The following is a 15,393-nucleotide window of genomic DNA, read 5'->3' as shown; positions in this document are numbered from 1 at the left end:
TTTTCTAGTTCTTTTAATTGTGATGTTAGGGTGTCAATTTTGGATCTTTCCTGCTTTCTCTTGTAGGCATTTAGTGCTATAAATTTCCCTCTACACACTGCTTTGAATGCGTCCCAGAGATTCTGGTATGTGGTGTCTTTGTTCTCGTTGGTTTCAAAGAACATCTTTATTTCTGCCTTCATTTCGTTATGTACCCAGTAGTCATTCAGGTACAGGTTGTTCAGTTTCCATGTAGTTGAGCGGCTTTGACTGAGATTCTTAATCCTGAGTTCTAGTTTGATTGCACTGTGGTCTGAGAGATAGTTTGTTATAATTTCTGTTCTTTTACATTTGCTGAGGAGAGCTTTACTTCCAACTATGTGGTCAATTTTGGAATAGGTGTGGTGTGGTGCTGAAAAAAATGTATATTCTGTTGATTTGGGGTGGAGAGTTCTGTAGATGTCTATTAGGTCTGCTTGGTGCAGAGCTGAGTTCAATTCCTGGGTATCCTTGTTGACTTTCTGTCTCATTGATCTGTCTAATGTTGACAGTGGGGTGTTAAAGTCTCCCATTATTAATGTGTGGGAGTCTAAGTCTCTTTGTAGGTCACTCAGGACTTGCTTTATGAATCTGGGTGCTCCTGTATTGGGTGCATAAATATTTAGGATAGTTAGCTCCTCTTGTTGAATTGATCCCTTTACCATTATGTAATGGCCTTCTTTGTCTCTTTTGATCTTTGTTGGTTTAAAGTCTGTTTTATCAGAGACTAGGATTGCAACCCCTGCCTTTTTTTGTTTTCCATTGGCTTGGTAGATCTTCCTCCATCCTTTTATTTTGAGCCTATGTGTGTCTCTGCACGTGAGATGGGTTTCCTGAATACAGCACACTGATGGGTCTTGACTCTTTATCCAACTTGCCAGTCTGTGTCTTTTAATTGCAGAATTTAGTCCATTTATATTTAAAGTTACTATTGTTATGTGTGAATTTGATCCTGTCATTATGATGTTAGCTGGTGATTTTGCTCATTAGTTGATGCAGTTTCTTCCTAGTCTCGATGGTCTTTACATTTTGGCATGATTTTGCAGCAGCTGGTACCGGTTGTTCCTTTCCATGTTTAGCGCTTCCTTCAGGAGCTCTTTTAGGGCAGGCCTGGTGGTGACAAAATCTCTCAGCATTTGCTTGTCTATAAAGTATTTTATTTCTCCTTCACTTATGAAGCTTAGTTTGGCTGGATATGAAATTCTGGGTTGAAAATTCTTTCCTTTAAGAATGTTGAATATTGGCCCCCACTCTCTTCTGGCTTATAGAGTTTCTGCCAAGAGATCCGCTATTAGTCTGATGGGCTTCCCTTTGTGGGTAACCCGACCTTTCTCTCTGGCTGCCCTTAACATTTTTTCCTTCATTTCAACTTTGGTGAATCTGACAATTATGTGTCTTGGAGTTGCTCTTCTCGAGGAGTATCTTTGTGGCGTTCTCTGTATTTCCTGAATCTGAACGTTGGCCTGCCTTGCTAGATTGGGGACGTTCTCCTGGATAATATCCTGCAGAGTGTTTTCCAACTTGGTTCCATTCTCCACATCACTTTCAGGTACACCAATCAGATGTAGATTTGGTCTTTTCACATAGTCCCATATTTCTTGGAGGGTTTGCTCATTTCTTTTTATTCTTTTTTCTCTAAACTTCCCTTCTCGCTTCATTTCATTCATTTCATCTTCCATTGCTGATACCCTTTCTTCCAGTTGATCGCATCGGCTCCTGAGGCTTCTGCATTCTTCACGTAGTTCTCGAGCCTTGGTTTTCAGCTCCATCAGCTCCTTTAAGCACTTCTCTGTATTGGTTATTCTAGTTATACATTCTTCTAAATTTTTTTCAAAGTTTTCAACTTCTTTGCCTTTGGTTTGAATGTCCTCCCGTAACTCAGAGTAATTTGATCGTCTGAAGCCTTCTTCTCTCAGCTCGTCAAAATCATTCTCCATCCAGCTTTGTTCTGTTGCTGGTGAGGAACTGCGTTCCTTTGGAGGAGGAGAGGCGCTCTGCGTTTTAGAGTTTCCAGTTTTTCTGTTCTGTTTTTTCCCCATCTTTGTGGTTTTATCTACTTTTGGTCTTTGATGATGGTGATGTACAGATGGGTTTTTGGTGTAGATGTCCTTTCTGGTTTTTAGTTTTCCTTCTAACAGACAGGACCCTCAGCTGCAGGTCTGTTGGAATACCCTGCCATGTGAGGTGTCAGTGTGCCCCTGCTGGGGGGTGCCTCCCAGTTAGGCTGCTCGGGGGTCAGGGGTCAGGGACCCACTTGAGGAGGCAGTCTGCCCGTTCTCAGATCTCCAGCTGCGTGCTGGGAGAACCACTGCTCTCTTCAAAGCTGTCAGACAGGGACACTTAAGTCTGCAGAGGTTACTGCTGTCTTTTTGTTTGTCTGTGCCCTGCCCCCAGAGGTGGAGCCTACAGAGGCAGGCAGGCCTCCTTGAGCTGTGGTGGGCTCCACCCAGTTCGAGCTTCCTGGCTGCTTTGTTTACCTAAGCAAGCCTGGGCAATGGCGGGCGCCCCTCCCCCAGCCTCGTTGCCGCCTTGCAGTTTGATCTCAGACTGCTGTGCTAGCAATCAGTGAGATTCCGTGGGCGTAGGACCCTCTGAGCCAGGTGTGGGATATAGTCTCGTGGTGCGCCGTTTCTTAAGCCGGTCTGAAAAGCGCAATATTCGGGTGGGAGTGACCCGATTTTCCAGGTGCCGTCCGTCACCCCTTTCTTTGACTCGGAAAGGGAACTCCCTGACTCCTTGCGCTTCCCAGGTGAGGCAATGCCTTGCCCTGCTTCGGCTCGCGCACGGTGCGCACACACACTGGCCTCCGCCCACTGTCTGGCACTCCCTAGTGAGATGAACCCGGTACCTCAGATGGAAGTGCAGAAATCACCCGTCTTCTGCGTCGCTCACGCTGGGAGCTGTAGACCGGAGCTGTTCCTATTCGGCCGTCTTGGCTCCTCCTCCCCCTACACACATTCTTAACCCTTTGGCAAACATATCCAAACACACAAAAGCTACTGAAATTGTTCCTACAGGTTACCATCAACCTGGTGATTGCTAAATTCTATGAATTTGTCTTAATGTTCATCCTTCTTAAACCTTCCCACATCACACAGATTTCTCTCTTCTTGAAACTTTTATTTTCTGTATCTTTCTTTGTGCATTCCTGGTTCTCCTCCTTTTTGACTCTTTTTATTATTATTATAATTATTATTATTATACTTTAAGTTCTAGGGTACATGTGCACAACGTGCAGGTTTGTTACATAGGTATACATGCGCCATGTTGGTTTGCTACACCCATTAACTTGTCATTTACATTAGGTATTTCTCCTAATTCTATCCCTCCCCCTGCCCCTCACCCCATGACAGGCCCCCGTGTGTGATGTTCCCCGCCCTGTGTCCAAGTGTACTCATTGTTCAATTCCCACCTATGAGTGAGAACATGCAGTGTTTGGTCTTATGTCCTTGTGATAGTTGGCTCAGAATGATGGTTTCCAGCTTCATCCATGTCCCTGCAAAGGACATGAACTCACCCTTTTTATGGCTGCATAGTATTCCATGGTGTATATGTGCCACATATTCTTAATCCAGTCTGTCATTGATGGACATTTGGGTTGGTTCCAAGTTTTGGCTATTGTGCCGCAATAAACATACGTGTGCATGTGTCTTTATAGTAGCATGACTTACAATCCTTTGGGTATATACCCAGTAATGGGATTGCTGGGTCAAATGGTATTTCTAGTTCTAGATCCTTGAGGAATTGCCACACTGTCTTCCACAATGGTTGAACTAGTTTACACTCCCACCAGCAGTGTAAAAGCGTTCCTATTTTTCCACATCCTCTCCAGCATCTGTTGTTTCCTGACTTTTTAATGATCGCCATTCTAACTGGGGTGAGCTGGTATCTCATTGTGGTTTTGATTTGCATTTCTCTGATGGCCAGTGATGATGAGCATTTTTTTCATGTGTCTGTTGGCTGCATAAATGTCTTCTTTTGAGAAGTGTCTGTTCATATCCTTTGCCCACTTGTTGATGGGGTTGTTTGTTTTTTTCTTGTAAATTTGTTTAAGTTCTTTGTAGTTTCTGGATATTAGCCCTTTGTCAGATGGGTAGATTGCAAAAATTTTCTCCCATTCTGTAGGTTGCCTGTTCACTCTGATGGTAGTTTCTTTTTCTGTGCAGAAGCTCTTTAGTTTAACTAGATCCCATTTGTCTATTTTGGCTTTTGTTGCCTTTGCTTTTGGTGTTTTAGTCATGAAGTCCTTGCCCATGCCTATGGCCTGGATGGTAATGCTTAGGTTTTCTTCTAGGGTTTTTATGGTTTTAAGTCTAACATTTAGGTCTTTAATCCATCTTGAATTAATTTTTGTATAAGGTGTAAGGAAGGGATCCAGTTTCAGCTTTCTACATATGGCTAGCCAGTTTTCCCAGCACCATTTATTAAATAGGGAATCCTTTCCCCATTGCTTGTTTTTCTCAGGTTTGTCAAAGATCAGATAGTTGTAGATATGCGGCGTTATTTCTGAGGGCTCTGTTCTGTTCCATTGATCTATAGCTCTGTTTTGGTAACAGTACCATGCTGTTTTGGTTACTGTAGCCTTGTAGTATAGTTTGAAGTCAGGTAGTGTGATGCCTCCAGCTTTGTTCTTTTGGCTTAGGATTGACTTGGCAATGCGGGCTCTTTTTTGGTTCCATATGAACTTTACAATAGTTTTTTCCAATTCCGTGAAGAAAGTCATTGGTAGCTTCATGGGGATGGCATTGAATCTATAAATTACCTTGGGCAGTATGGCCATTACCATGATATTGATTCTTCCTGTCCATGAGCATGGAATGTTCTTCCATTTGTTTGTGTCCTCTTTTATTTCATTGTTCAGTGGTTTGTAGTTCTCCTTGAAGAGGTCCTTCACATCCCTTGTAAGTTGGATTCCTAGGTATTTTATTCTCTTTGAAGCAATTGTGAATGAGAGTTCACTCATGATTTGGCTCTCTGTTTGTCTGTTATTGGTGTATAGGAATGCTTGTGATATTTGCACATTGATTTTGTATCCTAAGACTTTGCTGAAGTTGCTTATCAGCTTAAGGAGATTTGGGGCTGAGACGATGGAGTTTTCTAAGTATACAATCATGTCCTCTGCAAACATGGACAATTTCACTTCCTCTTTTCCTAATTGAATACCCTTTATTTCTTTCTCTTGCCTGATTGCCCTGACCAGAACTTCCAACACTATGCTGAATAAGAGTGGTGAGAGAGGGCATCTCTGTCTTGTGCCAGTTTTCAAAGGGAATGCTTCCAGTTTTTTGCCCATTCAGTATGATATTGGCTGCGGGTTTGTCATAAATAGCTCTTATTATTTTGAGATATGTTCCATCAATACCTAGTTTATTGAGAGTTTTTAGCATGAAGGGCTGTTGAGTTTTGTCAAAGGCCTTTTCTGCATCTATTGAGATAATCATGTGGTTTTTGTTGTTGGTTCTGTTTATGTGATGGATTATGTTTATTGATTTGTGTATGTTGAACCAGCCTTGCATCCCAGGGATGAAGCCAACTTGGTAATGGTGGATAAGCTTTTTGATGTGCTGCTGGATTCAATTTGAAAGTATTTTATTGAGGATTTTTGCATCAATGTTCATCAGGGATATTGGTCTAAAATTCTCTTTTTTTGTTGTGTCTCTGCCAGGCTTTCGTATCAGGATGATGCTGGCCTCATAAAATAAGTTAAGGAGGAGTCCCTCTTTTTCTATTGCTTGGAATAGTTTCAGAAGGAATGGTATCAGCTCCTCTTTGTACCTCTGGTAGAATTTGGCTGTGAATCCGTCTGGTCCTTGACTTTTTTTGGTTGGTAGGCTATTAATTATTGCCTCAATTTCAGAACTTGTTATTGGCCTATTTACAGATTCAACTTCTTCCTGGTTTAGTCTTTGGAGGGTGTATGTGTCCAGGAATTTATCAATTTCTTCTAGATTTTCTAGTTTATTTGCCTAGAGGTGTTTATAGTATTCTCTGATGGTAGTTTGTATTTCTGTGAGATCCGTGATGATATCTCCTTTATCATTTTTTATTGCGTCTGTTTGATTCTTCTCTCTTTTCTTCTTTATTAGTCTTGCTAGCAGTCTATCAATTTTTTTGATCATTTCAAAAAACCAGCTCATGGATTCATTGATTTTTTGAAGGGTTTTTGTGTCTCCATCTCCTTCAGTTCTGCTCTGATATTAGTTATGTCTTGCCTTCTGCTAGCTTTTGAATTTGTTTGCCCTTGCTTCTATAGTTCTTTCAATTGTTATGTTAGGGTGTTAATTTTAGATCTTTCCTGCTTTCTCTTGTGGGCATTTAGTGCTCTAAATTTCCCTCTACACACTGCTTTTAATATGTCCCAGAGATTCCGGTACGTTGTGTCTTTGTTCTCATTGGTTTCAAAGAACATCTTTATTTCTGCTTTCATTTTGTTGTTTGCCCAGTAGTCATTCAGGAGCTGGTTGTTCAGTTTCCATGTAGTTGTACAGTTTTGAGTGAGTTTCTTAATCCTGAGTTCTAATTTGATTGCACTGTGGTCTGAGAGAGAGTTTATTGTGATTTCTGTTCTTTTACATTTGCTGAGGAGTGCTTTACTTCCAACTATGTGGTCAATTTTGGAATAAGTGTGATGTGTTGCTGAGAAGGCTGTATATTCTGTTAATTTGAGGTGCAGAGTCCTGTAGATGTCTATTAGATCCACTTGGTGCAGAGCTGAGTTCAAGTCCTGGATATCCTTTTTAACCTTCTGTCTTGTTGATCTGTCTAATATTGACAATGGGGTGTTAAAGTTTCCCATTATTATTGTGTTGGAGTCTAAGTCTGTTTGTAGATCCCTAAGGACTTGCTTTATGAATCTGGGTGCTCTTGTATTGGTTGCATATATATTTAGGATAGTTAGCTCTTCTTGTGGAATTGATCCCTTTACCATTATGTAATGGCCTTCTTTGTCTCTTTTGATCTTTGTTGGTTTAAAGTCTGTTTCATCAGAGACTAGGATTACAACCCCTGCTTTTTTTTTTGTTCTCCATTTGCTTGGTAGATCTTCCTCCATCCATTTATTTTGAGCCTATGTGTATCTCTGCATGTGAGATGGGTCTCCTGAATACAGCACACTGATGGGTCTTGACTCTTTATCCAATTTGCCAGTCCGTGTCTTTTAATTGGGGCATTTAGCCCATTTACATTTAAGGTTAATATTGTTATGTGTGAATTTGATCCTGTCATTATGATGTTAGCTGGTTATTTTGCCCGTTAGTTGATGCAGTTTCTTCCTAGCATTGATGGTCTTTACAATTTGGCATGTTTTTTGCAGCAGCTGGTACCAGTTATTCCTTTCCATGTTTAGTGCTTCCTTCAGTTCTTGTAAGACAGGCCTGGTGGTGACAAAATCTCTCAGCATTTGCTTGTCTGTAAAGGATTTTATTTCTCCTTCACCTATGAAGCTTAGTTTGGCTGGATATGAAATTCTGGATTGAAAATTCTTTTCTTTAAGAATGTTGAATATTGGCCCCCCACTCTCTTCTGGCTTATAGAGTTTCTGCCAAGAGATCCGCTATTAGTCTGATGGGCTTCCCTTTGTGGTTAACCTGACCTTTCTCTCTGGCTGCCCTTAACATTTTTTCCTTCATTTCAACCTTGGTGAATCTGACAATTGTGTGTCTTGGAGTTGCTCTTCTCAAGGAGTATCTTTGTGGAATTCTCTGTATTTCCTGAATTTGAATGTTGGCCTACCTTGCTAGGTTGGGGAAGTTCTCATGGATAATACCCTGAAGAGTGTTTTCCAACTTGGTTCCATTCTCCCCATCACTTTCAGGTACACCAATGAAATGTAGATTTGGTCTTTTCGCATAATCCCATATTTCTTGGAGGCTTTGTTCGTTTCTTTTTATTATTTTTTCTCTAAACTTCTCCTCTTGCTTTATTTCATTAATTTGATCTTCAATCACTGATACTCTTTCTTCCACTAGATCGAATCAGCTATTGAAGCTTGTGCATGCGTCACGTAGTTCTCATGCCATGGTTTTCAGCTCCCTCGGGTCACTTAAGGTCTTCTCTACATTGTTTATTCTAGTTGGCCATTCATCTAATCATTTTTCAAGGCTTTTAGCTTACTTGCGATGAGTTCCAACATCCTCCTTTAGCTCGGAGAAGTTTGTTATTACTGACCTTCTGAAGCCTACTTCTATCAGCTCATCAAAGTCATTCTCTGCCCAGCTTTGTTCAGTTGCTGCTGAGAAGCTGTGATCCTTTGGAGGGGAAGAGGCACTCTGTGGAATTTTTAGCTTTTCTGCTCTGGTTTCTCCCCATCTTTGTGGTTTTATCTACCTTTGGTCTTTGATGATGGTGACCTACAGGTGGGGTTTTTGTGTGGATGTCCTTTTCGTTGATGTTGATGCTATTCCTTTCTGTTAGTTTTCCTTCTAAGAGTCAGGTCCCTCAGCTGCAGGTCTGTTGGAGTTTGCTGGAGGTCCACTCCAGACCATGTTTGCCTAGGTATCACCAGTGGAGGCTGCAGAACAGCAAATATTTTTGCCTGATCCTTCCTCTGGAAGCTTCATCCCAGAGGGGCACCTGCCTGTATACTTGGCCACTTTGTTTACCTACTGAAGCCTCAGCAATGGCAGATGCCCCTCCCCCTGCCAGGCTGCTGCCTCACAGGTCGATCTCAGACTGCTGCTCTAGCAGTGAGCAAGGCTCCATGGGCATGGGACCTGCCAAGCCAGGCACAGGATATAATCTCCTGGTGTGCCATTTGCTAAGACTGTTGGAAAACTGCAGTATTTGGGCAGGAGTGTCCCGATTTTCCAGGTGTATTCTGTCATGGCTTCCCTTGGCTAGGAAAGGGAAGTCCCCCAACCCCTTGCACTTCCCAGGTGAGGCGATGCCCCACCCTGATTTGGTTCACCCTCCATGGGCTGCACCCACTGTCCAACCAGTCCCAATGAGATGAGCCAGGTACCTCAGTTGGAAATGCAGATCATGCTGAGAGCTGCAGATCAGAGCTGTTCCTATTTGGCCATCTTGGAACATGACTATTTGACTCTTTCTTTTGTGACTCTTTCTTTTGTTTTTGTTTTTTTTTTTCTACCTCTTGCCTCCAATGAATCTTCATTAGATTCCCTTCTTGTTCCTGGTTTATCATCAGCGTATGTACTACATCATTCTTATTATTTCAACAATTGATTGTTCTATGGAGACACAAATCAGTATTTCAAGATAGATTCTTTACAAGCACAACTGTCTGTTGGCTTACTTCGTCACTTTTCCTCTAACAGTGGCTTTTCTCCTGAGCTTACTGTTTTTTTTTAATGATGATATTGTCCTCATACCAGTCATTACATTTAATGTGGACTATTATAATGATTTGTTTGTCCTATTTTCTATTTTTCCCATTTCTACACATTAAACACAGTGATGTTAAATTACCACCCATTCAAGTCTAGATATGATTATATTCCTCCTTTACTGAAAACCAATAGTGATTCTTCTACAAGCACACACTCTTCTGCAGATACCACAAACACAAATTTCTCACTTGGTATTCAAAGCCGTCTATAGTATATAACCAATGTATCTATCCCAGCCTATTCCCCTACACATATTCTGTGTCCCAGACAATGTGGATTAACTTTGTGTTTGCAAATGTTTTATCATTTGCTCCCTCCCATCTTTAGCTCAAAACATTCCCTCTGCTTGGAATACACTTTCACCATTTCATCATGTCAACATGTAACCATACCTGAGATGCTGCCTTCTCTGTAAAGTCTTTTCTCATGTTTTCAACCAGATATAATCTCTTCTGCCTTTGTGTTAGATATTATTTTACTTCTTCTTCTATTAACTTTTAGAAAATATACGTTTACCTTATTCCAATTTACTGGATTTTGAACTCCTTAGTATATTTTACTCATCTCTATATCCTCTCCAGCTAAATCTTAGCACAGGATCTGTTACATGAACAAATAAATATGCTTAATTTTATTTTCTTCACCTCATTTTGCATTTATTGAAGAAATTGATTTGCAACTGTACTAAACTGGAAATTGATTCAGTGCACTTTCTGTGAGATTAACTTTCAAATAAACTAATTGAGTTAGATTTCACAGTTTTTCAATTTTATGTTAATACGTAAATTCACTGTATTTTTAGGATAACACTAACTGCCATAATAAGTAAACCTAAATATTTTATGTTGTTTTAACACAACAGAAAGTTATTTTTGCCCATGTTAATTGTCTGGTGAAGGTGTTCCTAAGTAGCTCTCCCCTACAAGTTGATTAAGAAAACCAGGTGCTCTCTCTTGGTTTTTGTTGTTGTTGTTTTTATTTTTTAAGAGACAGGGTCTCACTGTGTCACCCAGACTGGAGTGCAGTGATGCAATCATTGCTCCACTGCAGCCTCCAACTCCTGGGCTCAAGCCTCCCGCCTCAGTCTTCTGAGTAGCTGGGACTACAGACACGGGCCACCAAACCTAGCTAATTTTTAATTTTTCTTTTTTGTAGAGACAGGGTCTCACTTTGTTGCCCAGGCTGGTCTTGAACTCCTGGCTTCAAGCAATCCTCCTGCCTTAACCTCCCAAAGTGCTGGGATTACAGGCATGAGCCACCATGCCTGGCCCAGGCCCCCTCTTTCTTGTGGCTCCATCTATCTCTTAGGGTCATTAGCACTTGGGATAAAATTAGAGAAAACCACATGCTTCTCCTGTTAATAATTGCCATGTCATATCAGCTTAAAAGGACATATTGCATCAGTCAGTTTAGGCTAAATTATGCTGCAGAAAGAAACAGCCTGAATATATTAGTGGTTTACAATAATAAAAGTTTATTTCTTACTTGCACTCTATACACTGTGGGTTGGCTGTGACTCTGTTACATGTTATCTGCATTCGGAGACTCAGGCTTAAGGAGCAGTGCCTGTGTGGAACATGTTTAGTCTCATGGCAAAAGGAAAAAAGAAACTGACTTAAAAAAAAAGTGGTACATATCACTTTCTATTTATTTGAAGTTACATAGAGAAGAATGACATTAATAAGATGCAGGGGTATATTCCTCCCATGGTGACGGGCACTCCAAATTATATGGCCAAGTCTGACATCAGTAGCATAGGGAGGTATAATCCTTCCACAGAAAGGAGCAGTGAATATTTCAAACAGTAAAACAATCTGCTATACCATTTTTTCTTTTCACATTTTCACATTTTAAAAATTGAGATATTTCTCATGATCAGTGGTAAATTACAATTGCTTGGGAGATTTTTTTCTCTATTCAGAGATTTAAAAAATATTGGTGTATCTTACAATCCATGATATCTTAGATTCCATGAAATTTGGCAGACCTCAGCTTTAAATACCTTTGTCTAATTCATCTATTATTTCCAAGTGTGTACACAGTTTCAAAGAGTAATATAGACTTAAAGACTGAATAGATTTAAAGCCTGTATGTTCACATTCCTTACCACTGATATAAACCTTTGTTGGCATGCTTATTTTCAGTCTGTAGTAGAGACAACCATAAAAACATTAGAAAAATGGAGTGAGAGAAATTTGCAAAGGGAGAAAAACAGACAAATCATCATAAGATAGACTAGAAAGCTTAGAAATAAGCCATGTATAAGACAAGAATGGCACCATAAACCAATAGGTGGGTAAGAAATAGTGCTGAATATATAGCATTTGGAAAACTGGGTCCCTGTATGCAAAAAATTAAAACTGGATCCCTATCTTATACCACGTGAAAATTGAACTCCAGATGGATTAAAGAAACTTTTCTAGATAGAAAAGTTAACAGCAATAGAAAAGAATGCCCATTATTTAATGACATAGAAATAAGGAAAGCTTTCTTAAACAAGATCCAGAAAATACAAATCATAAGGCCAAAAAAAAAAACAAAAACCACACTGGATATGGCCACATAAAAATTAAGGACTTCTTGTCAATGAAAGATATCAAAAATAATTTCACAGGTGATTTATCACAAGAAGGAATTTAGAACATCTAAAACCAATAAGGTTTGGGCACGGTATCTCATGCCTGTAATCCCAGCACTTTGGAAGGCCAAGGCGGGCAGATCACCTGAGGTCAGGAGTTCGAGACCAGCTTGGCCAACATGGTGGAACCCCGTCTCTACTAAAAACTACAAAAAAATTAGCTGGGCGTCGTGGTGCATGCCTGTAGTCCCAGCTGCTCAGGAGGCTGAGGTAGGAGGCTGAGGTGGCAGGATCAAGCTGAACCTGGGAGGCAAAGGTTACAATGAGCAGAGATCATGCCACTGCACTCCAGCCTGGGCGACAGAGCAAGACTCCATCTCAAATAAATAAATAAATAAATAAAACCAATAAGAAGTTTATACTTTAAATATATAAAAATTCCTGAAAATCATCAAGAAAATATAGGAAATCTTAATGGGAAAAAATAAATTGAGCAAAGACATGGAAAAGAATTACACAGAAAAAGCCCAAAACATGAATAAATAAAATAAAATAAAACCAATAAGAAGTTTATACTTCAAATATATAAAAATTCCTGAAAATCATCAAGAAAATTTAGGAAATCTTAATGGGAAAAAATAAGTTGAGCAAAGGACATGGATAAGAACTAAGCAGAAAAAGTCCAAAACATGAACACATAAATGAAGAGAAGTTCAGACTCAGAGAAACTAGTTATCAGAGAAATTCAAAATAAAAAAATAATGAGCCACTACTCTATATACAGACATTAGCCCTTATCCTAAAGTTGTGTGTATAATTCCCATGTGTCTTCTGCCAGTAAGAAATTAGATTATTGTATGCGTTTTAAAATTTTGCACAAAACACATAATGATGTATCCTTTTGAAAAGGATTTATGCTGTTTTCTCAGTCAACATTATATTCCTAAAATGTTTATCCATGTTGATACATATAGATCTGGTCTATTAATTTTAGCTGGTGTTGAGGTTTTCTGTTTATTTCTCAGTATTGGTCATTCAAGAGTTTTCTTTATTGTATGAATGCATTTTAGTTAATCTGTGTCCATACTGATAATGCCGATGATTCTACTTTTGTACTTAAATAATACAGCAATGAACGTCTTTCTATATGTCTCCTAGTACATACATGTGAAAGTAGAATTCCATGTGAACAACTAGAAGTGCTGAGTTGTAAGTTAGGGGCATCTTCAATTTTACTATATATAATAAATTGTTCTCCAAAGTGATTGTACCAATTTATACTATTTCCTGCTATTTCCTGCTGTGTATGTATGAGTTCTTCTTTCCTTACATTCTAGCCAACACTTGTGGTATTATCAGATTTGACATATGTTTTGGTTAGACTTTTTAAGGTACTGAAATAGTACGTTTTTCTTTTTATGTATTTTGGAGACAGGGTCTTGCTCTGTCACTCAGGCTTACTGCAACCTTGACCTCCTGAGTCCAAGCGATCCTCACACCTCAGCTTCATGAGTAGCTGGGACTACAGGAACATGTTGCCACACCCAGCTAATTTTATTATTATTATGTATAGATTATTTATAGAGATGTGATCTCCCTATGTTGCCTAGGCTGCAAGGAAACCATTTTTAATTTATGTTCTCCAACTTTAAGTTTTATTAAAGATATCCATGGGCATGGCCGGAACCCTGTGAACTATCTACTTTTTAGTGAGAACCTCTATCTTCCAATTATGCCCTTTTGACTGACTGCACCTTTTAATACTTACATGAAGTAAAAAACTCAGATGCCCTATTGGGACCAGGCAGATAGTATAAATAAGTAAAATGGGCCATGTATAAGAGACAATAGGGAATAGCAAAGTAAAGAGTGCATCTGGATCTCAACAGTACAACAGTTACTTAGTTCTGTCCAATATTTGCCTTTGAGAAAGTTTGTCTACATTTGCTAGGTCATCTGAAGCTAATAATTTTATAAATCTTTATATATAAAGTATTTATATGTAAAATCTCCAGATTTTTAAATGTTTTTACCTAGTTCAGTTTAGTAAATGCTATAGGCTAAGCAGAATACATTTGTAGGTTATATTGTTCTGGTGCACATGGGATAAGCTAAACGAGCCTACTGCATTCACTCCCCTAGATCATATGTCTTAGAAAAAGGATTTATCACTTTGGGAGGCCAAGGCGGGTGGATCACTTGAAGTCTGGAGTTCGAGACTAGCCTGGCCAACATGGTGAAACCCCATCTCTGCTAAAAACAAAAACAAAAAATTAGCCGGGCACGGTGCTCTGTGCCTGTAGTCCCAGCTACTCAGGAGGCTGAGGCAGGAGAATTGCATGAACCCAGGAGGCTGAAGTTGCAGTGAACCAAGATCATACCACTGCACTCCAGCCCAGGCGACACAGCGAGACTCTGTCTCAAAAAGAAAAATGATTTTTTCCGAATAGTTTGACTAGTCTGTGTTCAGTTTCTGTTATTTTGTTTACTGTCTCACAACAGATAGCTCTATTTCATTTTTCCTGCTCAGATTTGATTGACAGCATTAGTTAGGGTTTTCCAGAGAAACAGAACCAACAGGATATAGATATAGATAGATTGATTTATTATAAAGAATTGGCTCACATGATTGTGGGGGGCTAAAAAAAAATCTCACAGTCTTCCATCCACAAACAGGAGATCCTAGAAATCCAGTATAGTTCCAGTCCGAGTTCAAAGGCCTGAGAACCACAAGAATTGACAGTGTAAGTTCTATCAGAGTCCACAGGCCTGAGACCTACAGCACTGATTATTTAAATTCTACTCCAAGTCCAAAGGCCTGAGAACTAGGAGTCAATGCTGTCCTAGTTCAAAGGCAGGAGAAGACTAATGTCCCAGCCTAAGCAGTCAGATGGAGAGAAAAGTTTCCTTTCCTTTGCCTTTTTGTTTTATTCAGATCCTCAACAGATTGGACAGTGCCCACCCACATTGGGAAAGGCAATCTGCTTTAGTCAGTTTACCTATTTAAATGTTAATCTCACCTAGAAACAACATACACTCAGAAATAATGTTTAGCCAAATATCTGAGCACTCTGTAACCCAGTGACCTTGACACATAAAATTAACCGTGACAGCCCTCCCCATTGTCAAGTTTGCCCCCAAATGCATCTCTTTAAACCATACTTAACCTTCAAATAAAGACAATAATAAGATCATAATTCTGCCTAACATGATATCATTATCCTGCATGTAACCAAAAACTCACTAACCTCTTTTCCAGAAGAGGATGTAAAGTCCTTGAGTGATGTTTACTCTTCTCCTTTATAACCTGTAACTTAAATACTATGATGTAAAATTAACCATACTTAGATACTGTTATAAGGTCAATACGTCTTATGTTATATGATAAAGAAATGAGAGGGCAGGAGCAGTGGCTTACACCTGTAATCCCAATACTTTGGGAGGCCAAGG

The 15,393-nt window shown here is 39.6% G+C and overlaps 1 protein-coding gene across 20 annotated transcripts in view; it reads left to right on the top strand.

Moving 5' to 3' along the window:
- The window catches only part of COL24A1 (collagen type XXIV alpha 1 chain), a 427,752-nt gene that overhangs the window by 226,953 nt on the left and 185,406 nt on the right, over positions 1 to 15,393 (top strand). The window lies entirely within an intron of this gene.

Source organism: Homo sapiens, chromosome 1, assembly GCF_000001405.40.
Source record: "Homo sapiens chromosome 1, GRCh38.p14 Primary Assembly".
Classification (NCBI taxonomy): Eukaryota; Metazoa; Chordata; class Mammalia; order Primates; family Hominidae; genus Homo; species Homo sapiens.
Note: the sequence above shows the minus strand (reverse complement) of the source record. Positions and strands in the feature narration are given on the sequence as shown.